Source organism: Homo sapiens, chromosome 22 (assembly GCF_000001405.40).
Source record: "Homo sapiens chromosome 22, GRCh38.p14 Primary Assembly".
In the NCBI taxonomy this organism is placed as follows: Eukaryota; Metazoa; Chordata; class Mammalia; order Primates; family Hominidae; genus Homo; species Homo sapiens.
In genome coordinates this window covers 39,007,338-39,033,977 of record NC_000022.11, presented here as the reverse complement: position 1 = coordinate 39,033,977, position 26,640 = coordinate 39,007,338, and the positions used below count along the sequence as shown (strand labels likewise).

General features: G+C 52.1%; 2 protein-coding genes across 5 annotated transcripts, besides 14 other annotated features; both read right to left on the bottom strand.

The window, feature by feature from the left end:
* Window positions 1–700: 700 nt before the first annotated feature.
* APOBEC3D (apolipoprotein B mRNA editing enzyme catalytic subunit 3D) lies at window positions 701–12,851 on the bottom strand. 4 transcript variants are annotated; one of them, NM_152426.4, is made up of 7 exons: window positions 12,442–12,851; window positions 10,964–11,156; window positions 8,629–8,908; window positions 8,307–8,421; window positions 4,459–4,615; window positions 2,005–2,284; window positions 701–1,780 (listed from the first exon to the last, which is right to left on the bottom strand). In NM_152426.4, the coding sequence occupies exons 1-7, from the start codon at window positions 12,456–12,458 to the stop codon at window positions 1,662–1,664; spliced, it is 1,161 nt and encodes a 386-aa protein (NP_689639.2). In that variant the 5' UTR covers window positions 12,459–12,851; the 3' UTR covers window positions 701–1,661. The 4 variants fall into 4 exon arrangements, with proteins under 4 accessions (NP_689639.2, XP_016884085.1, NP_001350710.1 ...); XM_017028596.3 differs by having other exon boundaries at window positions 8,307–8,908; XM_047441142.1 differs by lacking the exons at window positions 701–1,780; window positions 4,459–4,615 and having other exon boundaries at window positions 2,015–2,284.
* Window positions 2,826–3,622: an enhancer, noted in NCBI's record as "H3K27ac-H3K4me1 hESC enhancer chr22:39426361-39427157 (GRCh37/hg19 assembly coordinates)". NCBI's record gives its function as "activates a minimal SCP1, AML or CMV promoter by ChIP-STARR-seq in primed H9 embryonic stem cells {active_cell/tissue: H9 hESC(primed)}" and the evidence as "EXISTENCE:reporter gene assay evidence [ECO:0000049][PMID:30033119]".
* Window positions 5,077–6,005: an enhancer, noted in NCBI's record as "H3K4me1 hESC enhancer chr22:39423978-39424906 (GRCh37/hg19 assembly coordinates)". NCBI's record gives its function as "activates a minimal SCP1, AML or CMV promoter by ChIP-STARR-seq in primed H9 embryonic stem cells {active_cell/tissue: H9 hESC(primed)}" and the evidence as "EXISTENCE:reporter gene assay evidence [ECO:0000049][PMID:30033119]".
* Window positions 11,570–12,409: an enhancer, noted in NCBI's record as "H3K4me1 hESC enhancer chr22:39417574-39418413 (GRCh37/hg19 assembly coordinates)". NCBI's record gives its function as "activates a minimal SCP1, AML or CMV promoter by ChIP-STARR-seq in naive H9 embryonic stem cells {active_cell/tissue: H9 hESC(naive)}" and the evidence as "EXISTENCE:reporter gene assay evidence [ECO:0000049][PMID:30033119]".
* Window positions 12,410–13,248: an enhancer, noted in NCBI's record as "H3K27ac-H3K4me1 hESC enhancer chr22:39416735-39417573 (GRCh37/hg19 assembly coordinates)". NCBI's record gives its function as "activates a minimal SCP1, AML or CMV promoter by ChIP-STARR-seq in primed H9 embryonic stem cells {active_cell/tissue: H9 hESC(primed)}" and the evidence as "EXISTENCE:reporter gene assay evidence [ECO:0000049][PMID:30033119]".
* Window positions 12,410–14,089: a biological region, named in NCBI's record as "OCT4-H3K27ac-H3K4me1 hESC enhancer GRCh37_chr22:39415894-39416734".
* Window positions 12,988–13,497: an enhancer, noted in NCBI's record as "active region_19026". NCBI's record gives its function as "activates an Ori minimal core promoter by ATAC-STARR-seq in GM12878 lymphoblastoid cells {active_cell/tissue: GM12878}" and the evidence as "EXISTENCE:reporter gene assay evidence [ECO:0000049][PMID:35858748]".
* Window positions 13,249–14,089: an enhancer, noted in NCBI's record as "OCT4-H3K27ac-H3K4me1 hESC enhancer chr22:39415894-39416734 (GRCh37/hg19 assembly coordinates)". NCBI's record gives its function as "activates a minimal SCP1, AML or CMV promoter by ChIP-STARR-seq in naive and primed H9 embryonic stem cells {active_cell/tissue: H9 hESC(naive and primed)}" and the evidence as "EXISTENCE:reporter gene assay evidence [ECO:0000049][PMID:30033119]".
* On the bottom strand, window positions 13,626–19,721 carry APOBEC3C (apolipoprotein B mRNA editing enzyme catalytic subunit 3C). Its single transcript, NM_014508.3, has 4 exons — window positions 19,599–19,721; window positions 18,227–18,383; window positions 15,933–16,212; window positions 13,626–15,709 (listed from the first exon to the last, which is right to left on the bottom strand). The coding sequence occupies exons 1-4, from the start codon at window positions 19,613–19,615 to the stop codon at window positions 15,591–15,593; spliced, it is 573 nt and encodes a 190-aa protein (NP_055323.2). The 5' UTR covers window positions 19,616–19,721; the 3' UTR covers window positions 13,626–15,590.
* Window positions 19,273–19,890: an enhancer, noted in NCBI's record as "H3K27ac-H3K4me1 hESC enhancer chr22:39410093-39410710 (GRCh37/hg19 assembly coordinates)". NCBI's record gives its function as "activates a minimal SCP1, AML or CMV promoter by ChIP-STARR-seq in primed H9 embryonic stem cells {active_cell/tissue: H9 hESC(primed)}" and the evidence as "EXISTENCE:reporter gene assay evidence [ECO:0000049][PMID:30033119]".
* Window positions 19,273–20,509: a biological region, named in NCBI's record as "H3K27ac-H3K4me1 hESC enhancers GRCh37_chr22:39409474-39410092 and GRCh37_chr22:39410093-39410710".
* Window positions 19,431–19,480: a silencer, noted in NCBI's record as "silent region_13738". NCBI's record gives its function as "represses an Ori minimal core promoter by ATAC-STARR-seq in GM12878 lymphoblastoid cells {active_cell/tissue: GM12878}" and the evidence as "EXISTENCE:reporter gene assay evidence [ECO:0000049][PMID:35858748]".
* Window positions 19,591–19,700: an enhancer, noted in NCBI's record as "active region_19025". NCBI's record gives its function as "activates an Ori minimal core promoter by ATAC-STARR-seq in GM12878 lymphoblastoid cells {active_cell/tissue: GM12878}" and the evidence as "EXISTENCE:reporter gene assay evidence [ECO:0000049][PMID:35858748]".
* Window positions 19,620–19,914: an enhancer, noted in NCBI's record as "tiled region #8537; K562 Activating DNase unmatched - State 1:Tss". NCBI's record gives its function as "activates a minimal TATA promoter and a strong SV40 promoter by Sharpr-MPRA in K562 cells {active_cell/tissue: K562}" and the evidence as "EXISTENCE:reporter gene assay evidence [ECO:0000049][PMID:27701403]".
* Window positions 19,891–20,509: an enhancer, noted in NCBI's record as "H3K27ac-H3K4me1 hESC enhancer chr22:39409474-39410092 (GRCh37/hg19 assembly coordinates)". NCBI's record gives its function as "activates a minimal SCP1, AML or CMV promoter by ChIP-STARR-seq in primed H9 embryonic stem cells {active_cell/tissue: H9 hESC(primed)}" and the evidence as "EXISTENCE:reporter gene assay evidence [ECO:0000049][PMID:30033119]".
* Window positions 22,839–23,340: an enhancer, noted in NCBI's record as "H3K4me1 hESC enhancer chr22:39406643-39407144 (GRCh37/hg19 assembly coordinates)". NCBI's record gives its function as "activates a minimal SCP1, AML or CMV promoter by ChIP-STARR-seq in naive H9 embryonic stem cells {active_cell/tissue: H9 hESC(naive)}" and the evidence as "EXISTENCE:reporter gene assay evidence [ECO:0000049][PMID:30033119]".

The window sequence follows — 26,640 nt, the reverse complement described above, 5'->3', positions numbered from 1 at the left end:
ATTAGCCAGGCGTGGTGGCACACCCATGTAATCCCAGCTACTCGGGAGGCTGAGGCAGGAGAATAGTTTGAACCCGGGTGGCAGAGGTTGCAGTGAGCCCAGGTTGCACCACTGCACTCCAGCCTGGGTGACAGAGCAAGACTTCATCTGAAAAAAATAAAAATAAGCCTGGCATGGGCAACATGATGAAACCCGTTTTTACTGAAAATACAAAAATTAGCCCGGTGTGGTGGTGCACGCCTGTAATCCCAGCTACTCGGGAGGCTGAGACAGGAGAATCACTTGAACAACAGAGGTGGAGGTTGCAGTGAGCGGAGACTGCGCCATTGCACTCCAGCCTGGGTGACAGGGCGAGACTCCACTTCAAAAAAAAAAAGGAGAAATGTTCTCTTGCCCTGTGGGAAAGCCCACCATGGGCACTAGGAAGTGTTGGGAGCTGGGAGGTTCCATTGCTGAGTCACTGCGTTTGGAGCAAGGAGTCCAAGACTTACAGCCATTTATGGCAGAAGCTATGGATAAAGCTGGTTTCAGGGTACAATGCACAGTTTCAGGAGTCAGGCTTGCAGATAAGTCCATTTTGGGAGCAATGGTGTGTGGCCTGACTGCTTTTCCTCCCTGGCTGCTGGCCTCTGTTTTAGCTGCGTAGGACATGAATGACCCAATTCGTAGGATGAAACTTACAAAGGATGTTTCTCAAAACTGGTTTTCAACTTACATATATTCATATCCATTTAGGTTGAGTGTATTTATTGATTTATTTTCAGGCAGGGTCTTGATCTGTTGCTCAAACTGGAGTTCTGTGGCGCGATCTCAGTTTACTCCAGCCTCCACCTCCCCGGCTCAAGCAGTCCTCCCACTTCATCCTCCCAAGTAGCTTAAACTACAGGTGCATGCCACCACATCTGGCTTTTTTTTGGTATTTTTTTTTGTAGAAATGGGGCTTTGTCGTGTGGCCCAGGCTGGTCTCAAACTTCTGGGCTCAAGCGATTCTCCCACCTCTGCCTCCGAAAGGCGTGAGTCACCAGGGCCAGACTAGATTGAGTTTAATAAGATTTGGTTGTGCGGCCGAGCCGGGTGGCTCACGCCCGTAATCCCAGCACTTTGGGAGACAGAGATGGGCAGATCACCTGAGGTCAGGAGTTCAAGACCAGCCTGGCCAACATGGTGAAACCCAGTCACTACTAAAAATACAAAAAAAAAAAAAAAAAAAAAAAAAAATTAGCTGGGCGTGGTGGCAGGCATCTGTAATCCCAGCTACTCAGAAGCTGAGACAGGAGAATCACTTGAACCCAGTAAGCAGAGTTTGCAGTGAGCTGAGATCCAGCCATTGCACTCTAGTCTGGGCGACAGAGTGAAACTCCGTCTCAAAAAAAAAAAAAAAAAAAAAAGATTTGGTTATGCTGGGGAGATGGGAAGAGTCAAGTTAGGGGCACCCAGGCTGGGGGAACAGGACTGGGGAGGTGGATGGAGAGCCTCTACAAGAAGAGCCTGGGAGAGCGGGGAGGAGGTGGTGAGGCAGGGGGGCACTATGGAATGGCCCTGAGGCCAGGAGGGGCTCAGGATGACCAGGCAAAAGCACAGCTGGTGCAGGATGGAGGGGAGGCCCGTGCAGCATGAGCAGGAGGCTAGAAGAGACAGACCATGAGGCCCAGGGAGACCCCTCACTGGAGAATCTCCCGTAGCCTTCTTTTCAGAAGTCGAAAGTTGGTTTGTAGTCCCTTCCAAGGCTTGAATGGCTCATCATCACTGTACACAAAGTTTTTCCAACAAGATACAAAATCTGAGAAAAAAACAAGGAGAAAGCAGTGAGGGCCCAGCAAGCCTCTCTCCCGGCCCTGGGCCCTCCCCTCCCAAGCCAGGTCTCCTGGCTGCCAGTTGCAGCTGGCGCCGGCCCCATCCCTGCAGGCTTCCCGGGGACACTGCCCCGCCCCACGGCATTGCAGACCCACCTGCCCCTCATGCTGTCCCTCCCGCACCCACTCTCCTCAGCCCCCCACGTCTCACCTTTGTAGCCCATGATCTTCACGGAGGCCCCTTCCTGACTCAGGCTGCAGAGCCCCTCCTGGTAATCTGTATCCCAGAAGTAGCAGAGGCGGGCGGTGAAGATGGTGAGATTCACGTTGCTGTGCCTGGCCAGGAACTCGGCCACCTCCCCTGCACACTCTGGGCAAGGGCTCCAAGATGTGTACCAGGTGACCTCGTAGTTTGTGTTAGGAGACAGTATGTCGTCACAGAACCAAGAGAGGAAGCACCTTTCTGCATGACAATGGGTCTCAGGATCCACCTGGGGAAGGAGGAGGAGGAGGGCAGGGGGAGCTCAGACCAGGAGCAGGAGGAGTGTAGGGGTGGGGCGATGGGAGAAGAGGGCAGGCCTGAAGCCCCAGGGCATTTTCTTATTTATTTATTTTTGAGACAGGGTCTCTCCTGTTGCCCAAGCTGGGGTGCAGTGGTGCGATCTGGGCTGACTGCAGCCTTGACCTCCCAGGCTCAAGGAATCTTCCCACCTCAGCCTCCTGATTAGCTGGGACTGCAGGTGTGTGCTGCCACGCCCGGCTAATTTTTTTGTAATTTTTGTGGAGACGGAGTCGTGCCACATTGCCCAGGCTGATCTCGAAATCTTGGGCTCAAGCCATCCTCCTGCCTCAGCCTACCAAATTTCTAGGACTATGAGCATAAACCACATGCACGACCTTATTTTATTTCTTTACTTTTCATTTTTCTGGGTGCATAGTAGGCCCCAGGGCGTTTTATTCATTGAGTTTCCCTTATTCCATCCTTCTCCTTCCTCTTTATTTTTTTATTATTTTTTTCTGAGATGGAGTCTTGCTCTGTTGCACAGGCGGGAGTGCAACGGCACGATCTCAGCTCACCACAACTTCTGCCCCTTGGGTTCAAGCGATTCTCTTGCCTCAGCCTCCGGAGTAGCTAGGATTACAGTCGCGCACTCCTACGCCTGGCTAATTTTTGTAGTTTTAGTAGAGACAGGGTTTCACCATGTTAGCTAGGCTGTTCTTGAACTCCTGACCTTATGATCCGCCCGCCTAGGCCTCACGATGTGTTGGGATTGCAGGCGTGAGCTACTGCGTACAGGCGTGAGCCACCGCGCTTGGCCCCTTCCTTCTTTATTTTATTGAGTCTTTTCCTGTCTCATCATGCCCTCAAGTGCGAATTCTGGCATCCTTTCCCCCAGGCATCCATTAACCAGGCATCCTCAGCCCCTGCTGTGGCCTGGTCCTATGGGGTCTGCCTTGTCCCCTGTCTGCCTTCTGCTGGGAAGGTCATTGGACCCACATTGTCCCATGGAGTTGAAGGTTGGCCAAAGGGGCTACTGAGCACTTGAAATGGGGCTCTGATTAGAAACGTTGGCACGTGTAAAATACACAGCGCATTTCAAAATCTCATTGTGAGAATAGACAAACTTTAACTCTCTCATGAGGCATTTTATATTAAGTATATGTTGAAATCCTATGTGAGATAATTGAGCTAATGCAGACACTAAAATTTCTTCCACGAGTTCTTATCGCCTTTTTAGCGTGTGGGGACTGGAAACACTTGCGCTTCCATCCTGAGTCCTGGGTGTTTCCGAGGCCAGCACTGCTGTAGGCCAGGCCTGCCCAGCACACAGACGGCTCCCTCCCCAAACACACTCTGAAAAAATCTCCTGCCTGGGAGGAGGGGGCCGCAGGGTTGGGTGGGACACGGCAGGGTGGGTGGGAGGTCAGTGGCTGCTGTGGGGGCGGCAGGGTGAGGAGCGAGGGTTCACCACCCTGTGAGGATGTGTCCTTGACATCGAGGAATCAGGGCAGTGGCGGGGGCGGCCCCACCAGCCCACAGTGACTGGCCCAGGCACAGTGCTGGACACCAGACCCACCGCTTCCCACAGCTGCTGTTTCCCGAGGACTGCCGGACGCACAGCTCCATGACAAGATTTTGGGAAACAAAGTCAAGAGTGAGGGCGCTGGGCGCTAAACAAGGCCTTTTGGTAAGAGGCAAAACCCCTCGACAATCTGATCCCAGGAAAGTTAGGGAGGAAGATCTGGGCCACCGACTTAAAAAATGTGGGAGGAAGTTGGGCGTGGTGGCTCATGCCTGTAATCCTAGAACGTTGGGAGGCCAAGCGGGGCGGATCGCTTGAGGTCAGGAGTTTGAAACCAGCCTGGCCACCACGGTGAAACCCCGTCTCTACTAAAAAAATAAATAAATAAAATAAAAATTAGCTGAGTGTGGTGGCGGGCACCTGTAATCCCAGCTACCCATGAGGCTGAGGCAGGAGAATCGCTTGAACCCGGGAGGCAGAGGTTGCATGAGGGAGACTCTGTCTTAAAAAAAAAAAAAAGAAAGAAATGTAAGAGGAAAGTACACATAGCAGAGCCCACGCGGGGCACGTCACGTATTGTGTTTTCTGCGTTCCCAGCTGCTTAGCTCCTATTTAGGGTGTAAATAGGACTTTGGTGCTACCTGGTTTCGGAAGACGCCCCTCTTCCGGAAGACAGCTGAGTGGTGCTTTGTAACTTCCATGGTGAAGCACAGCCAGCTTTCGTTCCGACCACAGGCTTTCAGTAGGTTTTTAAAGTGGAAGTAGAATATGTGTGGGTACATTGCCTCCATCGGGTTTCTGAGGGCACAAGAGAGAAACCCCAGTGCAGAGATTCCTCGGAGCTGATGCCCACTGAACACAACTCCCTGGACGTCCCTGGAGTCTGGGCCTCTCCCATCCCTCCACAGCCCTGGGAATGTCTGCTGCTTTCCCAGGCAGGAAGACTGGGAGAGAGAAAGAGGAGGGGGTACTGGCAGGGGCAGCAGGGACAGGGTGACCTCTCCTAGCTGGAACCCCAGCTCTGGGCCTACCAATGGGACACCCTCAACCTCCCAGTTTTTCTGCCACACATCTCCCAACCCATTAGGAAAATGCAACAGAGAATAAAACTCTTCACCCTGAAATAATTGCTTGAACATTTCAGCTCAATTCCTTCCTCACATTTCACCTGTCCGATGATGATGATGATTATTTTTATATCGGGATCACAGCGAATTTATTTATTTTTGCACACGGTCTCACTCTGTCACCAGGCTGGAGTGCAGTGGTGCAATCTCGGCTCACTATAACTTCCGCCTCCTGGTTTCAAGCAAATCTCCTGCCTCAGCCTCCCAAGTAGCTGGGACTACAGGTGCATGCCACCACGCCCGTCTAATTTTTTGTATTTTTAGTAGAGACGGGGTTTCACCACGTTAGCCAGGGTGGTCTTGAACTCCTGACCTTGTGATCCACCCACCTCGGCCTACCAAAGTGCTGGGATTACCGGTGTGAGCCACCGCGCCTGGCCCTAATTTTTGTATTTTTAGTAGAGATCATGTTTCACCATGTTGGCCAGGCTGCTTTTGAACTGACTTCGTGATCTGCCTGCTTCAACCACCCAAAGTGCTGGAATGACAGGCATGAGCCACTGAGCCCGGCCGGTCCAGGCTACTCTCCTAAGTGCTGCATATGTCTGAGCTCATGGCATGTGCCTGAGGCCTGCAGGGGCCATCCCTATTTTACAGAGGAGGTGCCAGAGGCATAGGGAGGCCAGATAATCTGCCCACACCACAGAGCTGGGGCGGTGGATGGAGCTGGGGCCCCTTTCGAGGCCAGCCCTGTCCAGCCTCTGCATCGCAGGCCCTGCGGTGGGGAGCTGTAGGCAACCACGCTGTCTTCTTACTAAACTTTAAAATAAGAGCATTTCTCCTGATCATATTTTTTCCTACACTCCATGTTGCAGGTGTCATTCTAAAAGGTGAATGGTGCTCACGGAGGAGGAGCCTGTGTCTGGGGTCGTGTGCATCCTACTCTGCTCACAGCGGAGGCGTCTTTGGAAGAAATGACTTATTTTCTGGTACAGAGACCATTTCCTCCCCCACACCCTCTCTTAAGACTTTGTATTGAAACAAAGTAAATCTTACAGAAATTCCACCAAAGTGCTGAGAATAAAATGCCTGATTGCTCCAATCATCCTTTGGTTCAATTCTCCCAGTTCCTGAGCTCAGGAATGGCGGGAAGCACACAGAGGGAGCACCCTCCCAAGGCGGGGAGCACCAGCCCGGGCATGACTCTCAGGGGAGAATCTCAGCAGGGGGCATGGGCTGGGGCAGGTGGGGGAGATGGCCCATTCAGAAGCAGCAGTGGGGCGACCACATAGCAGGGCAAAGAGCCTGGCTGGTAGTGGGAGCAGCAGAGGAACCAGAGGGGAGGGAGCCCAGGGCTGGGGCAGGGGGAGGCCAGGGCTGAGGCCCAGCAGGGCCACCAGGCAGGAAGGGGCAGCAGAGGCCCCATGGGCAGAACGGGCAGTGGTCCCTGATCTGAGGCTTCATGTGTAGCCTCCCTGGCAGGCTTGTCCTGGCCCTGATTTTAGTCCTGGGCTTGGGTTCTATTTCTATCGTCCAGGGCCCTTGTTCCAGGAGACACCTGCGCTGTGAGTGACCTCCCAGGCCCATCTGAGTGCAGGCCTCACTTTATGCTGCTTTCTCACCTGGATGGGAGGACCTCCGGAGGGACCCCTGGATCCTGCCCTCAGGAATCATCCCAGGGACGCCCCCCACCCGGTAGCTATGTGGTAGGGAGGGAGAGTGAGGGGCAGGTGTCTGCTTCCCCCTTGCCTTCACACTCAGAGGCCACCATTGGAGGGAGGAATAGTGGGTGGGGGTGCCCTCAGATGTCCCCCCAGGATGCCATGCGTGCCCCCACACTGAGCTCCTTCCTTCCACATCTCCTGCCCAGAGTTGTTCCCTGGCAGGCTGAGCTCTTGTCCCTATGTCACAGAAGGGCGGAGGCTGGTGTCCCCGGCCACCCTGTCTTGCAGTTTGCTCCTCCGGTCTAAGACCCAGGTGCTCAGTTCCCATCTCTCCCGAGGGCCTTAGATCTCTTTCTAGGGCCTCTCTGGTCCCTGGTTGCCCTTTTCTGTTGTGCTTCCTGGAGAGCTCCTAGCATCTCAAGCCTCCCATGATCCAAGCCTACTCTTTTGTAAAATCTTACTCAACACCTGGCCAACATTGCAAAACCCCGTCTCTACTAAAAATACAAAAATTAGCCGGCATGGTGGCATGAGCCTGTAATCCCAGGTACTTGGGAGGCTGAGACAAGGGAATTGCTAGAACCGGGAGGCAGAGGTTGCAGTGAGCCGAGATCGCACCACAGCACTCCAGCCTGGGCAACAGAGGGAGACGCTGTCTCAAAAAAAAAAAAACAAAAAAACCTTACTCAAATGGGACCTTGATCACTGAGTGTTTGCTTGACTCTTTCTGCATCTCCATCCCTGTGGGAGGGATTTGAGAAGGGACAGGCGTGAGCCGGAGGCCCAGCTAGGTGCTGTTAGGTGGGGAAGCCATGGTCTGGAGGGAGGGGCTGTGGGAGTCAGGGCAGGACTCGCCTGGGAGACAGACACACAGAACGGGGACCCCTGCACACCCCACCCAAGCTTGACCCAAGCCCCCTGGGTCATTGTCATGGGCTAAATTGTATCTTCCCTACATTGACATGTCGAAGCCCTCAACCCCACCTCCTCACAGGATAACTGTATTTGGAGACAAGTACACTAAAGTGGTGATTAAATTAACTCATGGCCCTTAGGGTGGGCCCTAATCCTGTCTGACTGGGGTCCATAAACAAGGAGGACATTTAGAGGCAGAGAGACCCCAGGAGTGCAGGTGCACAGAGGAAAGGCCAGAGAGGACAGGGCTGGAAGGGACCCCCTGCCAGCCAGGAGGAGCGGCCACAGAGGACACAACCCCACCCACCCCTCCACCTTGGACTTGCAGCCTCCAGATCTGTGAGAAAATAAATGCCTGCCCTGTGGGCACCCGGCCCGGGGGCATCTTCTATGGCCGCGGAAGCCTGAAGCTCTGTTTCCATGGTGGCGGCTCCTTCTCAGGGGCTCAGGTCGGCCTTGAAGGATGTTGCTCAAAGCTTCCGACTGTCGGGCTTGTGACTATTCATGCCCACTTACTACGTCCAGTTTTATGACAAATTCGGTTATGCCAGGGAGATAGAAGGAGCCAGGTTGGGGCTCCCAGGCTGTGGGGAGGGCAGCCTCGGGGGTGGATGGAGGTCGCTCTGGAGGCAGAAGGGGCCTCTCACTCACAGGAAGAGCCCAGGAAAGCAGGGGGGAGGCACCAAGGTGGAGGGAGCATGAGGAGTGTGGGTGAGGGGGTGTAACCATGAGGGCAGGCAGGGGGGCAGGACGGAGGGCAGGAGGGCCCAGCCAGGGGAGTCCTCAGGAGGATGAGCAGGAGGCGAGAGGAGAGAGACGATGAGGCCAGAGGGAGACCCTCACCTGAGAATCTCCTTTAGCGTGCGGTGCAGGGATGCATAATTGTCATCGAATTTGTACCAAGGCATGAATGGCTGACCTTCATTGCACACAAAGTTTTCCCAGCAGTATGCAAAGTCTGAGATGAAGAGGTGGGAAGCACTCAGGCTCTCCCCTGACCCTGGGCCTGCCCTCCCAGGCCTGGTCTCCTGGCTGTCAGTTGCAATCAGTGCCAGCCCCACCCCTGCAGGCTGCCCTGGAACACCCCCAGCCATGGCATTGCAGATCCATCCATCTCTGAGGCTGTTCCTCCCCGTCATGCTCCCCTGACCCCTGCACCTCTCACCTTCATAGTCCATGATCTTCACACGGGCCCCTGCCTTATGCAGCCTGAGGAGCACCCACCGCCAATCTCTATCCCGGTAGTAGTAGAGGCGGGCGGCAGAGATGGTCAGGGTGACATTGGGGTGCTCAGCCAAGAATTTGGTCACCTTCACCACACAGGGCAGGCAGGGGTTCCATGATACAAACCAGGTGATCTGGAAGCGCCTGTTAGCAGGCAGTCGGTTGCCACAGAACCAAGATAAGAAGCACATTTCTGCGTGGTTCTCAAACCGGAAATACACCTGGGAGAGGAGCAGGGGCAGGGGAAGCTCTGGGACGGGGGAACAGGAGGGGTGCGGGGTGGGGCAGGGGGAGGAGGGGCCAGGACAGGAGCCCAGGGGATCTTGCCATTGAAGCTCCTTTCCTCCATCCCCCCTGTTTGGTTTGAGTGATTGTCTGCTCCAAGCTGACCTTCAGTGTTAATTGCTATGGTACTGGCCTTAAGAGGTGGCACCTAGAAGAGGCTATGAGGCTGTGGGGACTGCACCTTTGTGGGTGCCACTGCTGTGGTTATTCAAAGGTGACCTCAGCCCCTCTTTCTGTCTCTTGCCCTCTAGCTGGGGGGGCAGTATGTCAGACTAAACTGCTTCCTCTTGTCCCCATGTCACGGAGCACCAGTGACTCGACATCCCAGGCCACTCTGTCTGGAGCATCCCCTGAGCTTCTGGCAACAACCTTCACCCCCATGTGACTGTGCAGCTCGCAGGCCCTGGAAAGTTGCTGGTGCCTTGACGTTGGACTTCCTGGAGTCCAGAACTCGAGCCAACACATTTCTGTTCACTGTAAATGTCCCCGTCTCAGTCCTGCTGTTGAAGCATCACAAGGTGCACCAAGACACGTGCTTCCCTGTGTTTGGAAGTTTTCCCAGCCCTGTTCATGGCCTCGTGTGTGAATTCTGGCATCCATTCTCCCAGGCATCCATTCACCAGGCATCCTCAGCCCCTACTGTGTCCTGGCCCTCTGGGGTCCGCCTTGTTCCCCACTGGGGAGGCCACTGGACCTGCGCTGTCCCATATTGGGGGGCACTGGCCAAGGGCGCTACTGAGCATCTGAAACAGGGCTCTGATGAGAGACCTCGGCACATCAAAAATACACCACTCATTTCAGTGTGAGAAGAAAAAGAAACTTCACTATCTCGCGAAGAATTTTATGTTAATCAGCGTTGAAGTAATATGTTAGCTACACTGGATTAAATAGAATATTAAAATTACTTTCACCGGTTCTTGTCGCCTTTTTAGCGTGTGGGGACTGGAAACACTTGTGCTTCATTCCTGAGTCCTGGGTGTTTCCGTGGCCAGCACCGCTGTAGGCCAGGACTGCCCAGCATACAGACGACTCCCTCCCCAAACACACTCTGAAAAGTCTCCTCCCTGGGTGGAGGGGGCCGTAGGGATGGGTGGGACAAGGCGGGGAACTTAGTGTCCCCAGTGGGGGTGGCAGGGTGAGGAGTGAGGGTTCACCAAACTGTGATGAGGCATCTTTGCCAAGGAGGAATCCGGGCGGTGGCCGGGGCGGTCAAGCAGGAAGGTCTGGGCCACGGACTTAAGAAATGTGGGAAGTGGAGGCCAGGCGCAGTGGCTCACACCTGTATTCCCAGCACTTTCAGAGGCCGAGTTGGGTGGATCACCTGAGGTCAGGAGGTCAAGACCAGCCTGGACAACATGGTGAAATCCCTTCTCTATTAAAAATACAAAAAAATTAGCTGGGCACGGTGGCGTGCACCTGTAATCCCTGCTATTCAGGTGGCTGAGGCAGGATAATCGCTTGAACCCAGGAGGCGGAAGTTGAATGAGCCAAGATTGAGCCATTGCACTCTAGCCTGGGCAACAAGAGTAAAACTCTGTCTCAAAAAAAAAAAAAAAGAAAGAAAGAAAAGAAAAAAGAAATATAGGAAGTGGCCAGGCACGGTGGCTTATGCCTGTAATCCCAGAACTTTCAGAGGCCAAGGCAGGTGAATCACCTGAGATCAGGAGTTCCAGACCAGCCTGCTCAACACAGTGAAACCCCATCTCTACTGAAAATACAAAAATTAGCCGGGCGTGGTAGCACGCGCCTGTAGTCCCAGCTACTCAGGATGCTGAGGCAGGAGAATCGCTTGAACCCAAGAGGTGGAGGTTGCAGTGATCTGAGATCGCACCACTGCACTCCAGCCTGGGCGACAGATGGAGACTCTGTCTCAAAATAAATAAATAAATAAATAAATAGAAAAAATAAATAAATGTGGGGAAAAAATACACAGTTGAGAGCCCGCCGCCAGACATTTTACTTATGTGTTTTCTGCATTCCCAGCTGCTTACCTCCTGCCTGTGATTCGACTGACGTTTGGGTAGTACCGGGCCTCGAAAGACCCCTGTGTCCCAAAGGAGATTTGAGCGGCCCCTCTTTATTTTCACTTCATAGCACAGCCAAGTGTAGCTCCGACCATAGAGGATGGGTTCGTTTTCAAAGTTGTCGTAGAATGTGTCTCGATACATCCGCTCCATCGGATTTCTGAAGGCACAAGAGAGAAACCGGCCCATGCAGGGAGCCCTCCTGGAGTCCTCGGGGCTCATGTCCACTGAACACAGCTCCCGGGACGGCCCTGGGCCTCCCCCACCCCTCCACAGCCCTGAGAATTTCTGCTGCCTTCCCAGGCAGGAAGACTGAGGGGAGAGGAAGAGGAGGGGATGCTGGCAGGGGGGCTGGGGTGATCTCTCCCAGCTCGGGCCCAACTCTGGCCTTTCCAGGGGTATATTCCCCACCCTCTCAGTATTTCTGCCCACCCACTCCCCAACCCATTAGGAAAATGCAAAAGAGAATAAAACTCTTCACCCTTAAAAGATAGCTTTTAACCTTTCAGCTCAATTCCTTCCTGATGTTTCACTCTGCGTGTTAACATTATTTTAAAATCATGGTAGAACCGAATTCTGAGGCCCAGGCCTCTCTTCTAAGTGCTGCGTGGGGGTGGGCTCATGTGAGGCTGCCCTAGGCCTGCAGGGACCATTCCCATCTTACAGAGGAGGGGTCAGAGGCACAGAGAGGTGGGGTAACCTGCCCAGGCCACAGAGCTGGGGACAGTTGGAGCAGGGGCCCCTTTCCAGGCCAGCCCTGTGCAGCCTCTGCATCACGGGCCCTGCAGGAGAAAGCTGTTGGGGACTGGGCTCTCTTTTCACTAAATTTAAAATAAGAGCATTTCTCCTGATCATCGCGTTCTTTCTCACATTCCATGTTACTGGTCATGTTCTAAAAGATGAAGAGTGACCTTGGAGTGGAACCTGTCTGGGGACATCTGCTGACTGTGGAGTCATCCTTGGACGATGTGATTTATCTTGTGCTTCAGAGACCATTCCCTCCCCACACCCTCTCCTAAGACTTTGTATTTAAACAAAGTAAATCTTACAGAAAGTTCATCAAAGCACTGAGAACAAAATGCCTGATTGCCCCAGTCATCCTTTGGTTCAATTCTCCCAGTTCCTGAGCTCAGGAATGGTGGGAAGCACACAGAGGGAGCACCCTCTCAGGGCAGGGAGCACCGGCCTGGCCATGACTTTCAGGGAAGAGTCTCAGGAGGGGGCCTGGACTGTGGCAGGTGGGGAAGGTGGCCCATTCAGAAGCAGCAGTGGGGCGACCACACAGCAGGGCAAGGAGTCTGGCTGGGAGTGGGGGCGGCAGGGAAGCCAGAGGGAAGGAAGTCCAGGGCTGGGGCTGGGGCAGGGGGAGGCCAGGGCTGAGGCCCAGCAGGACCACCAGAAGGAAGGGGCCGGAGGGGCCCTGCGGACATAGTGGGCAGCGGTACCTGATCTGTGGATTCATGTTCAGCCTCTTAGATACGCTTGTCCCAGTCTCCCTCTTTTTTTGAAGTGCTGTGGTTTCACTTCCTGCTTGCGGCTCCTTGCAGTTGGACAGCCCTCCTTAAAGTGACCTCCCGGCCGGGCACGGTGGCTCACGCCTGTAATCCCAGCACTTTGGGAGGCCGAGGCGGGCGGATCACGAGGTCAGGAGTTCGAGACCAGCCTGACCAACATGGAGAAACCCCGTCTCTACTAAAAATACAAAAATTAGCCAGGTGTGGTGACGTGCGCCTGTAATCCCAGCTACTCTGGAGGCTGAGGCAGGAGAATCACTTGAACCTGGGAAGCGGAGGTTGCAGTGAGCCAAGTTCCTGCCACTGCACTCCAGCCTGGGTGAGAGAGCGAGGCTTCCTCTCAAAAAAAAAAAAAAAAAAAGTGACCTCCCAGGGCCTCGTAGTCATGGCCCCTCCCCCTTCCTGCTCAGGCGCTGGTGTAGGAGGCCCTGGGACGCTTTATCTTCCTCAGTCTCTCACCCTCTTTCTGGTTTTCTCTGGGGCCCTCCCCCTGGCAGAGGGACCTCTGATAAAGACAGGCCGCTCTGTGCGGCAGGACCCAAGGCAATTGCAAAGGGAAAGAGAAAGTCATTGCAGCCAGCGCCCGGGAGGTGGGTCCACACCAGGCTGAGCCAGCAGAGCACAAGCCCCTCCCCTGGTGGTCCCGCCCAGCTGGAGCCGCCACTCCACCATCAAGACAGACAGGCTGATGCCTCTGCAGGGACTCCCGGATCCTGCCCTCGGGGATCATCCCAGAGACGGCCCCCACCCAGCGGCCATGGGGACAGGGAGGGAGAGTAAAGGGCCAGGCGTCTGCCTCCCCCCAGGCCTTCACCCTCGGTGGCCACCGTGGGAGGGAGGGACAGCAGGTGGGTGTGGGCCTCAGATGTCCCACCGGGATGCCATGCGCGCCCCCACACTGAGCTCTTTCCTTCCTGCTTCTCCTTCTTCCCCATCTCCTGCCCGAAGATCCTCCGTGTTGGGCTGAACTTTTGCCCTCTCTTGTCCCCATGTTATGGAAGGGCAGCGGCTGGTGTCCCAGGCCAGCCTGTCTGGAGCCTCCCTGCGCGTCTCACAGCTCCCTTCCCATGGTAGCGTGTTCCCATGGCGCGGTGACCTACAAATTACACAAGGGATGCATTTGCAAAGGACACTTTATTTCTTGTTAAGGGTGACAGCCTGCAAGGTAGCCATCCAGCAGCCTGGGAAGAGCAGCCTCTGGTTAACACCAGAGACAGACATTTAGGAGCAGGAGGGGTTTGGGCAGGAGCTTTATGCTGAAGAGGTTGGCTAAACATACATATTCAACAGGCTACAGGAGGAGCTATGAATATTCATGTAGGTGGTTGCAGTCCATGCTTATTGAACAAACATGTGTGGAACATATGATCCCAGCCGGGCATAGTGGCTGATGCCTGTAATCCCAGCACTTGGAGAGGCTGAGACAGGCGGATCACCTGAGGTCAGGAGTTCGAGACCAGTCTGGCCAACATGGTGAGACCCCATCTCTACTAAAACTACAAAATTAACCAGGTGTGGTGATGCATGCCTTTTACTCGGGAGGCTGAAGCAGAAGAATCGCTTAAACTCGGGAGGCGGAGGTTGCAGTGAGTCCAGATTGTGCCATTGCATTCCAGCCTGGACAAGAGGAGCAACACTCTGTCTCAAAAAAAAAAAAAAAAAAAAAAAAGATGATATTTGGAGGCAGAGAGATCCCAGAGGTGCGTGTGCATAGAGGAAAGGCCACAGAGGACACGGCTGGAAGAGACTCCCTGCCAGCCAGAAGGAGCGGCCTCAGAGGAAACAACCCCACCCACCCCTCGAAGTTGGACCTGCAGCTTCCAGATCTGTGAGAAAATAAATGCCTGCCATGTGGGCACCTGGCCTGGGACATCTTCTATGGAGGCCACAGCATGAAAGGGTCATTTTTATGGAGAATCTCATTCTCTAAAACTTACATCTGCTTTGAAAATGTCAAATCAAATTTAAAGTGTTTAGAAGAGCCTCTAAATTTCATATTTCATTTGCAAAGAAAGAATTGTAATTTGAGACATACACGGAGTCCGGATGGTGTTCACCATGTTGAGAGAGCAAAGAGATGGCAATTATAGAAGGAGAAATGTTCTCTTGCCCTATGTAAAGCCCATGGGCACTAGGAAGGGCTGGGAGCTGGGAGGTTCTATTGCTGAGTCGCTGCGTTTGGAGCAAGGAGTCCAAGACTTACAGCCATTTATCGCAGAAGCTATGGATAAAGCTGGTTTCAGGGTACAATGCACAGTCTCAGGAGTCAGGCTTGCAGAGAAGTCCATTTCGGAAACAATGTTGTGTGGCCTGACTGCTTTTCCTCCCTGGCTCCTGGCCTCTGTTTTAGCTGGGTAGGACATGAATGACCCAATTCATAGGATGAAATTTACAAAGGATGTTTCTCAAAACTTCGGGTTTTCAACTTACATATATTCACACCTGTTTAGGTTGAGTTTATTTATCGATTTATTTTCAGGCAGGGTCTCTATCTGTTGCCCAGACCCGAGTTCAGTGGCGCGATCTCTGTTCACTCCAGCCTCCACCTCTCGGGCTCAAGTAATCCTCCCACTTCAGCCTCCCAAGTAGCTTGGACTACAGATGCATGCCACCACATCTGGCTTTTTTTTTTTTTTTTTTTTTTTTTTTGTAGAGATGGGGCTTTGTCATGTGACCCAGCCTGGTCTGGAACTCCTGGGCTCACGCGATTCTCCCACCTTTGCCTCCCAAATTGCTGGGGGATTACAGGCGTGAGTCACCATGCCCAGCCTAGGATGAGTTTAGTAAGATTTGGTTATGCTGGGGAGATGGGAAAAGCCAGGTTAGGGGCACGCAGGCTGGAGGAACGGGGTCTGTGGGGGTGGATGGATAGCCATGGAGGCAGAAAGGAGCCTCTGCAGGAAGAGTCTGGAAGAGCGAGGAGGAAGCGGTGAGGCAGGGGAGCACTGTGGAATGGCCCTGAGGCCAGGAGGGGCTCAGGATGACCAGGCAGAAACAGAGCGGGTCCAGGGTGGAGGGGAGGCCCGTGCAGCATGAGCAGGAGGCTAGAGGAGACAGACCATGAGGCCCAGGGAGACCCCTCACTGGAGACTCTCCCGTAGCCTTCTTTTCAGAAGTCGAAAGTTGGTTTTTAATCCCTTCCAAGGCTTGAATGGCTCATTATCATTGTACACAAAGTTTTCCCAACAATATTTAAAATCTGAGAAAAAACAAGGAGAAAACAGTGAGGGCCCAGCAGGCCTCTCTCCTGGCCCTGGGCCCTCCCCTCCCAGCCCAGGTATCCAGGCTGCCAGTTGCAGTGGGCGCTGGCCCGGTCCCCACAGACACCCAGGGGACACTGACCCGCCCCACAGCATTGGAGAACCATCTGCCCCTCATGCTGTCCCTCCTGCACCCACTCTCCTCAGCCCCCCACGTCTCACCTTCATAGTCCATGATCTCCACAGCGACCCCTTCCTGACTCAGGCTGCGGAGCCCCTCCTGGTAACATGGATACTGGAAGTAGTAGAGGCGGGCGGTGAAGATGGTGAGATTCACGTTGCTGTGCCTGGCCAGGAACTCGGCCACCTCCCCTGCACAGTCTGGGCAAGGGCTCCAAGATGTGTACCAGGTGACCTGGTACTTTGTGTTAGGAGACAGTATGTCGTCGCAGAACCAAGAGAGGAAGCACCTTTCTGCATGACAATGGGTCTCAGAATCCACCTGGCGAAGGAGGAGGAGGAGGACAGGGGAGCTCAGACCAGGAGCAGGAGGAGTGCAGGGGTGGGGCGATGGGAGCAGAGGGCGGGCCTGGAGCCCCGGGCCGTTTCCTTATTTACTCATTTTTGAGACAGGGTCTCTCTCTGGTGCACAGGTTAGGGGGTGCAGTGGTGGGATCTGGGCTGACTGCAGCCTTGACCTCCCAGGCTCAAGGAATCTTCCCACCTCAGCCTCCTGATAAGCTGGGATGCAGGTGCATGCCGCCACACCTGCCTAATTTTTTAAATAATTTTTTTAGAGACGGGGTTTCACCATGTTGCCCAGGCTGATCTTGAACTCTTGGGCTCAAGCGATCCTCCTGCCTCACCCTCCCAAAGCTCTGGGACTATGAGCATAAACCACATGCACAGCCTTATTTTATTTCTTTACTTTTCATTTTTCTGGCTACATAGTAGGCCCCAGGGTGTTTTATTCATTGAGTTTCCCTTCTTCTATCCTTCTCCTTCTCTCTTTATTCTTTTATTTTTATTTTTTTCAAAGATGGAGTCTTGCTCTGTCGCCAAGGCTGGAGTGCAGTGGCACAATCTCGGCTCACTGCAACCTCTGCCTCCCAGGTTCAAGCAATTCTCCTGCCTCAGCCTCCTGAGTAGCTGGGACTACAGGCATGCACCCCCACACCTGGCTAATCTTTGTATTTTTAGTAGAGACTGGGTTTCATCATGTTAGCCAGGCTGGTCTCGAACTCCCAACCTCATGATCCGCCTGCCTCAGCCTCCCAAAGTGCTGGGATTACAGGCATGAGCCACCGCGCCGTGCCCGGCCCCTTCCTTCTTTATTTTATTGATTCTTTCCCTGTCTCATAGACTCATGTGTGAATTCTGCCATCTTTTCTCCCAGGCATCCATTCACCAGGCATCCTCAGCCCCTGCTATGGCCTGGCTCTCTGGGGTCAGCTTTGTTCCCTGCCTGCCTTCTGCTGAGGAATCAGGGCAGTGGCGGGGGCGGCCCCACCAGCCCGCAGTCACTGGCCCAGACACAGCGCTGGACACAACACCCCCCGCTTCCCACAGCTGCTGATTCCCGAGGACTGCCGGACGCACAGCTCCATAACAAGATTTTGGGAAACAAAGTCAAGAGTGAGGGTGCTGGGCGCTAAACAAGGCCTTTTGGGAGGAAGCAAACCCCCTCCACGATCTGATCACAGGAGAGTCAGGGAGGAAGATCTGGGCCATGGACTTAAAAAATGTGGGGAGGCCGGGCACAGTGGCTCATGCCTGTAATCCCAGCACTTTGGGAGGCCAAGGCGGGCGGATCATGAGGTCAGGAGATCGAGACCATCTTGGCTAACACCATGAAACCCCGTCTCTACTAAAAAAAAAAAAAAAAAGAAAAAAAGAAAAAATTAGCTGGGCATGGTGGTGGGCGCCTGTAGTCCCAGCTACTTGGGAGGCTGAGGCAGGAGAATGGCGTGAACCCGGGAGGCGGAGCTTGCAGTGAGCTGAGATTGTGCCACTGCACTCCAGCCTGGGCGATAGAGCAAGACTCCGTCTCAAAATAAATAAATAAATAAATAAATAATGTGGGGAGGAGGCCAGGGGCATGGTGTCTCACGCATGTAATCCTAGCACTTTGGGAGGCCAAGGCTGGTGGATCACTTGAGGTCAGGAGTTCGAAACCAGCCTGGCCAACATGGCAAAATCCTGTTTCTACTAAAAATACAAAAGAATTGGCTGGGCATGGTGGCAGGTGCCTGTAATCCCAGCTACTCGGGAGACTGAGGCAGGAGAATCGCGTGAACCTGGAAAGCAGAGGTTGCCGTGAGCTGAAATCAGACCACTGCATTCCAGCCTGGGTGACAGAGCGAGACTCCATCTCAAAAAAAAAAAAAAAAAAATAGAAATGTGGCAGGAAAGTGCACACAGGAGAGCCCACGCCGGGCACATCACTTATTGTTGCGTTTTCTGCATTCCCAGCTGCTTAGCTCCTATTTAGGGTGTAACTAGGACTTTGGTGCTACCTGGTTTCGGAAGACGCCCGTCTTCCAGGAGACAACTGAGCGGCGCTTTATACCTTCCACGGTGAAGCACAGCCAAGTTTCGTTCCGATCGTTGGCTTCCCATAGGTTTTTAAATTGGAAGTAGAATGTGCCTGGATACATTGCCTTCATCGGGTTTCTGAAGGCACAAGAGAGAAACCCCAATGCAGAGACCCCCGCACCGGAGTCCTCAGGGCTGATGCCCACTGAACACAGCTGCCTGGACGTCCCTGGGCTCTGGGCCTCCCCCATCCCTCCACAGCCCTGAGAATGTCTGCTGCTTTCCCAGGCAGGAAGACGGGGAGAGAGAAAGAGGAGGGGACGCTGGCAGGGGCAGCAGGGCCGGGGTGACCTCTCCTAGCTGGAACCCCAGCTCTGGGGCTACCAATGGAACACCCTCAACCTCCCAGTTTTTCTGCTACTTTTTTTTTTTTTTTTTTAAAGACGGCATCTCGCTCTGTCCCCCAGGCTGGAGTTTGCAATCTCAGCTCACTGCAACCTCCACCCCTCGGGTTCAAGGGATTCTCCTGCCTCAGCCTCCCAAGTAGCTGGGATTACAGACGCCCGCCAGCACCCCTGGCTAATTTTCTGTATTTTCAGTAGAGACGAGGTTTCACCATGTTAGTCAGGCTGGTCTCAAACTCCTGACCACAAGTGACCCGCCCGCCTCAGCCTCCCAAAGTGCTAGGATTACAGGCATAAGCCACCGTGCCTGGCCTAAAATAAGAGCATTTCTCCTGATCATCATATTTTTTCCTACACTCCATGTTGCAGGTGTCATTCTGAAAGGTGAACGGTGCTCACAGAGGAGGAGCCTGTGTCTGGGGTCGTGTGCATCCTACTCTGCTCACAGTGGAGGCATCTTTGGAAGAAGTGACTTATTTTCTGGTACAGAGACCATTCCCTCCCCCACACCCTCTCCTAAGACTTTGTATTGAAACAAAGTAAATCTTACAGAAATTGCACCAAAGCGCTGAGAACAAAATGCCTGATTGCTCAAATCATCCTTTGGTTCAATTCTCCCAGTTCCAGAGCTCCCAGGAATAGTGGGAAGCACACAGAGGAAGCACCCTCCCAGGGCGGGAAGCACCAGCCCGGGCATGATTTTCGGGGGAGAGTCTCAGCAGGCGGACTGGGCTGGGGCAAGTGGGGAAGGTGGCCCATTCAGAAGCAGCAGTCGTGGGACCACACAGCAGGGCAAGGAGCTTGGCTGGGAGTGGGGGCAGCGGGGGAACCAGGGGGGAGGGAGCCCAGAGGTGGGGCTGGGGCAGGGGGAGGCCAGGGCTGAGGCCCAGCAGGACCGCCTGGCAGGAAGTGGCAGGAGGGGCCTGGCGGACAAAGCGTGCAGAGGTACCTGATCTGTGGATTCATGTTCAGCCTCTTAGATATGCTTGTCCCTGTCCCACTCTTTTCTGAAGCGCTGTGGCTTCTCTTCCTGCTTACAGCGTCCTTGCAGTTGAGCAGCCCTCTTTAAAGTGACCTCCCAGGGCCTTGTGAATCATGGCCCCTCCCCATTCCTGCTCAGGCACTGGTGTGGGAGGCCCCGGGGTGCTTCATGTTTCTCTGGCTCTGGCCCTCTTTCTGGTTTTCTCCGGGCCCCTCCTACTGGCAGAGGAACCTCCGATAAAGACAGGCTGCTCTGTCTTTATCTGTCCTGGGCAGGACCCAACGGAACTGCAAAAAGAAGAGAAAGAGAAAGAGAAAGGCATTGCAGCCTGAGCCTGGGACGCGGGTCCAGACCCAGCTGAGAGAGGGGCAGGTGCCCCGTTGCCTGGTGGTTGGGCAGGCTGGAGCCCCCTCTCCACCACCCCCTCCCCAGCCCTAATGTGTGCCCAGAGCTTTGAGCAGCACCACCCTGTTGAGTGAGGGGAGGTTTTGAGACCCCAGTGGGGAAGGAAGTGTGGACTCCGCACAGCACAAGCGAAGGCTTAGGTGTGCCTCGAGTTCCCAGCTGTGTGCTGAGTCCATCGCACGCATCCCCTCTTCCAACCTCCCAGCTTCCAGAAGGTGGGGGGCAGTTCAGCCCCTCAGAGATGTGGGCGGAGGATTACCTAGGTGCTGAGGCAAGAGACTGAAGGCACAAACTGTTTCAGTATAATAAAGAATATACTTACAATAAGAATAGTTATAATACAAATTAGATACAGAGATGATCATGGACATTATCAATCATTAGTGTAGATATTATTAATCATTAGCTTTTAATATTACTCTTTATTGTATTACTAATATAACCAAGAAATAACCGGTGGGTATAGGGTCAGGTGCTGAAGGGCTGTTGTGAGAAGTGACCGAGAATGCAAGAGGTGAGCCCTCTGTCACACCCGCATAAGGGCTACTGGAGGGCTCCTTGGTCAGGCGGTAACGCCAGTGCCTAGGAAGGCATCGTTACTTAGCGGACCACGAAAGGGAGTCTCCCTTTTCTTGGAGGAGTCAGGGAACGCTCAGCTCCACCAGCTTCTTGTGGGAGGCTGGATAGTATCCAGGCCTGCCTGCAGCCATCCGGAGGCCTAAACCCCTCCCTGTGATGCTGTGCTTCAATGGTCACGCTCCTTGTCCACTTTCCTCCTGTACTCCTGGTCCCTCTTTGAAGTTCTCAGAAGATAGCGGTAGAAGAAATAGTGAAAGTCTTAAAGTCTTTGATCTTTCTGATAGGTGCATAGAAGAAAACGCTGACGTATACTGCCTTCCCTCTCTGCTTCGGCTACCTATAAGGGAAGGGCCCCCTGTCCTATGATCACGTGACTTGCTCGACCTTATCAATCACTTGGACGACTCACCCTCCTTACCCTGCCCCCCTTGTCTTGTATGCAATAAATAACAGTGCACGCAACCATTTGGGGCCACTACCCATCTCCGTGTCTTGATGGTAGTGGTCCCCCGGGCCCAGCTGTTTTCGCTTTATCTCTTTGTCTTGTGTCTTTACTTTTTACGATTTCTCATCTCCACACACGGGGAGAACACCCACTAAGCCCCATAGGGCCAGACCCTACATCAGGGACTGCGATGTCTGCGACATCAAGCGGTGGAAGCAAGTGTCTACAAACAGGCTCACGGCCCACAGGGACCTCTCAAGGGGTTCCGTGTGGACCAAGAAAATGTGAAACACATACACACACAACTTTCTGATTATTTAAGTTCATCTAAGCATATTTTGGAGGAATGAATGTACATTGTATCCTTGAAATAATCTTCCTAAATAGATTCCTTTAAGGGGAGTTTGTTCTTGTGGGGGAAAGAAAGAGAGATGAGACTGTTATTGTGTCTATGTAGAAAGAGGAAGACATAAGAAACTCCATTGTGATCTGTACTAAGAAAAACTCTTCTGCCTTGAGATGCTGTGAATCTGTAACCCTAGCCCCAACCCTGTGCTCGCAGAAACATGTGCTATATTGACTCAAGGTTTAATGGATTTAGGGCTGTGCAGGATGTGCCTTGGTAAAAATGTGTTTGCAGGCAATAAGCTTGGTAAAAGTCATCGCCATTCTCCAGTCTCGAGTACCCAGAGACACAGTGCACTGCGGAAGGCCGCAGGGACCTCTGCCCAAGAAAGCCTGGGTATTGTCCAGGTTTCCCCCCACTGAGACAGCCTGAGATATGGCCTCATGGGAAGGGAAAGACCTGACCGTCCCCCAGCCCGACACCCGTAAAGGGTCTGTGCTGAGGAGGATTGGTGAAGGAGGAAAGCCTCTTTGCAGTTGAGATAGGAGGAAGGCATCTGTCTCCTGCTCATCCCTGGGAATGGAATGTCTTGGTGTAAAACCCGATCATACATTCTATTTACTGACATAGGAGAAGACCGCCTTATGGCTGGAGGTGAGACATGCTGGCGGCAATACTGCTCTTTACTGCACTGAGATGTTTGTATAAAGTCAAACATAAATCTGGCCTACGTGCACATCCAGGCACGGCACCTTTCCTTAAACTTATTTATGACACAAAGTCCTTTGCTCTCATGTTTTCCTGCTGACCCTCTCCTCACCATTACCCTATAGTCCTGCCACATCCCCCTCGCTGAGATGGTAGAGATAGTGATCAATAAATACTGAGGGAACTCAGAGACCAGTGCCCATGCGGGTCCTCCATATGCTGAGCGCCGGTCCCCTGGGCCCACTTTTCTTCCTGTATACTTTGTCTCTGTGTCTTATTTCTTTTCTCAGTCTCTCATCTCCACCTTTCGAGAAATACCCGCCGGTGTGGAGGGGCAGGCCCCCTTCAGTTCCAGCTGGAGAAGTTGTGCTCTCTGTAGAGGCTCTGAACTCCTCTGGCTACCACCTGAAGGCAGATAGGGAGGAGGCTGCGTGGGTGGTAGGGGGTGCAGCAGCGCCCGTTCCTGCACAGAAGCTTACCTATCGCTGCACAAAGCGGACTCCCAGTGGTTGTTTTTGGAAAGTGAAGTTTCCTTCCTTCCTTCCTTTCATCTTCCCCAATATAAATCTTTTAGTTTACAAGTAAATTTTACTATCGAAAATGAAAACTCGGGGAGGGCAGAAAGATCACACACAGGGCTGCCACTTCACACCTGGAGGGTTGCTCCGTGGCCGTCCAGAGGTGCTCCTCACTTCCCAGACGGTACTTCGGCCGGGCCGAGGCGCTCCTCACTTCCCAGACGGTACTTCGGCCGGGCCGAGGCGCTCCTCTTGAAGGTGAAATTTTCTGTTGCCATAAGAAAGAGATGGGGGCAAAGGGTAAGACCATAGATGGAAAATAATCAGTTCCGTTGATCAGAAACACACTTCTTAGAAGAAAATGTAATAATGACCCTAGACCAGGGAGGCATCCTCCAACCCAGCTGTAAGGCGGCAGTTAAGGCACAGTGGGGAAGGGACACCAGCTTTGCAGCCAGGAGACTCTGAGTTCTGCCCCTTCCTTACTGTGTGACCTTGGGTGGTTTACTTAATGTCTCCAGGCCTCTAATTGCAGGCATGAGCCACTTGCCCAGCCCATTTTATTATTTTGAAAACCTTTTCGGGCCGGGTGTGGTGGTTCACACCAGTAATCCCAGCACTGTGGGAGGCCGAGGCGGACGGATGACTTGAGGTCAGGAGTTCGAGATCAGCCTGGGCAACATGGTGAAACCCCGTGTCTACAAAAACAAAAACAAAAACAAAATTAGCCAGATGTGGTGTGCACCTGTAATTCCAGCTACTAGGGAGGTTGATGGGGGAGGATCACTTGAGCCATGATTGCATCACCGCACACCAGCCTGGGCGACAGAGTGAGACCCTGTCTCAAAAAAAAAAGAAAAAGAAAAACGTTTTCCACCTGTGTAATTTTATTTGCAAAAGGTATATATATGGCTGATTGCCGTGGCTCATACCTATAATACCAGCACTTTGGGAGGCTGAGGCGGGCAGATCACCTGAGGTCAGGAGATCAAGACCAGCCTGACCAACATGGTGAAACCCCGTCATGACTAAAAAAAAAAAAAATTACAAAATTAGCCAGGCATGGTGGCATGCACCTGTAGTCCCACCTACCTGGAAGGCTGAAGCAGGAGAATAGCTGGAACCTGGGAAGTGGACGTTGCAGTGAGCGGAGATCTCACCACTGTACTCCAGCCTGGGCCACAGAGTGAGACTCCATCTGAAAAAATTTAAAAAATAAGCCATGTGTGGTGGCTCACGCCTGTAATCCCAGCACTTTGGGAGGCTGAGGCAAGGGGATCTCCTAAGGTCAGGAGTTAGAGACCATCCTGACCAACATGGAGAAACCCCGTCTCTACTAAAAAAGAATACAAAATTAGCCAGGTGTGGTGGTGCATGCCACCATGTAATCCCAGCTACTCGGGAGGCCGAGGCAGGAGAATCACTTGAACCCGGGAGACAGAGGTTGTGGTGAGCCAAGATCGCGCCATTGCACTCAAGCCTGGGCAACAAGAATGAAACATCATCTCAAAATAACAAAATAAAATAATAAAAATAAATATTAAAAAGAAGGTTTTATATATATGGGATCTTTAGTATATGATTATATGAAATATATATCTAGAATATATATATGGGATCTTTTAATATGATTTCTTTTGATATATATAGAATCATCAGTATATGATTATATGTGGAATGTATATACGGAATCATTCGTCACTGACGTTTTTCACTCAGCATAATACCCTTGAGGTTCATCTGAATTGTTGCTGGTTTCCATAGGTTGTTCGTTTTCATTGCAGGGCACGACTCATTGCATGGATGTACCAAAGCAGGTTGAACCATTCGCCCACTGGACGTTTAGACTGGTTGTGGTTTTTGGCTATCGTGAACAAAGATGCTATGAACACAGGTTTTTGTTTTTGTTTTTGTTTTTGTTTTTTAAATGTGAGCATAAGTTTTCATTTCTCTGGAATAAATGCCCAATAGTGCAATTGCTGGATTGTATATTAAGTACACGTTTAGTTTTATAAGAAACTACTTGGCCGGGCATGGTAGTTCACGCCTGTAATCCCAGCTCTTTGGGAGGCCGAGGTGGGCGAATCACAAGGTCAGGAGATCGAGACCATCCTGGCCAACATGGTGAAACCCCATCTCTACTAAAAACACACACACAAAATAGCTGGGGGTGGTGGTGTGCGCTTGTAGTCTCAGCTACTCAGGAGGCTGAGGCAGAAGAATCACTGGAACCCAGGAGGCAGAGGTTGCAATAAGCCGAGATCACACCACTGCACTCCAGCCTGGGCAACAGAGCAAGACTCGGTCAACAACAACAACAAAACACCAGGCATGGTGGCAGGCCCCTATAATCCCAGCAACTAGGGAGACTGAGGCAGGAGAATTCCTTCAGCCGGGGAGGCAGAGGGTGCAGTGAACTGAGATCACACCACTGCACTCCTGCCTGGGTGACACAGCTTGTCTCAAAAAAAAAAAACTCCTGACCTCAGGTGATCCGCTCACCTGGGCCTCCCAAACTGCTGGGATTACAGGCGTGAGCCACTGCGCCGGGCTGGCCATTGGGAATATTCTAAGTGCGTCATATAAATGGAATCATTCAGTATTTCTCTTTATGTGATTGGCTTATTTTACTCAGCAAAATATCCTCAAGGTTCATCCATGTTGTAGCGTGGGTCAGAATTTCCTTCCTTTTCAAGGCTGAGTAATATTCCATTGTATGTGTAGACCACATCTGGCCTCTCCATTCATGTGTTAATGAAAACTTGGGTTGCTTCCATGGGTGTACAAATACCTCCTTGAGACTCTGCTTTCAATTTTTTTGAGTGTACACCCGGCAGTGGAATTGCTGGATCATCTGGCCATTCTATTTTTAATTTTTTGAGGAACTGCCATGCTGTTTTCCACAGCAGCTGTCTGCTGTTATTAGGTGAAGTGTTCCGTATATGTCTGTTAGACCTAGTTGGCTTATTGTGTTGAGTTCTCTATTTCCTTCCTTTTTTTTCTATCTGGTTGTTCTGTCCATTATTGAGCATTGGGTATTGAAGTCTCCAATTATTGTAGAACTCTAATTCTCCCTCAATTCTGTTCATTTTTGCTTCATACATTTTGATGGTCTGTTATTAAGTGTGTAAATTTTTTTTTTTTTTGATACAGAGTCTCGCTCTGTTGGCCAGGCTGGAGTGCAATGGTGAGATCCTGGCTCACTGCAACCTCCACCTCCTCGGTTCAAGCGATTCTCCTGCCTCAGCCTTCCAAGTAGCTGGAATTACAGGCATGCGCCACAACGCCCAGCTAATTTTGTATTTTTAGTAGAGACGGGGTTTCACCATGTTGGTCAGGCTGGTCTTGAACTCCTGACCTCAGGTCATCGGCTCACCTCGGCCTCCCAAAGTGCTGGGATTACAGGCGTGAGCCACTACACCTGGTTAAAAAAAATCTCTTATCTGATATTAGTGTAGCCACTGCTGCTCTCTTTTGGTTACTATTTGCATTACATTTTATTTTTATTCATTTGGGTGAGCCTGCCTTTAGTGTCTGCCACACTCTCCAAAGTGAGATTCCCAGTTGATATTCCCACTAGTGTTTACTTGTATATTAATAAGGCTGTTCAATTTTGCATATTTTATTGCTTATTTCATTTCTTCTATAAATTGCCTGTGCATATCATTTGCCCATTTTTCTGTTGGCAGAAACCTCTAGCCCAATGCTGGATTGGGGTTTCAGGAGCCAGCCTTTTCTCTTGACTTTGATTTCACCATCTAGTAGATACTTGTAGTAGACTAACCTTTTATCTAGAAACCTTTTATGAGATGAAGAAAGCTTGCTAAGACTTTTGTTGAACTGGGAATGCTTTCTTTGGCATGGCAGCATGCTTCAAGCTCTTAAGATAGCTTCTAAGCTACCTTTGCATCTTCTAAGGCGCTATTTTGTTTTATTTCATTTCATTTCACTTATTTTATTTTTTATTTTATTTTATATTTTATTTTATTTTATTTTATTTTATTTATT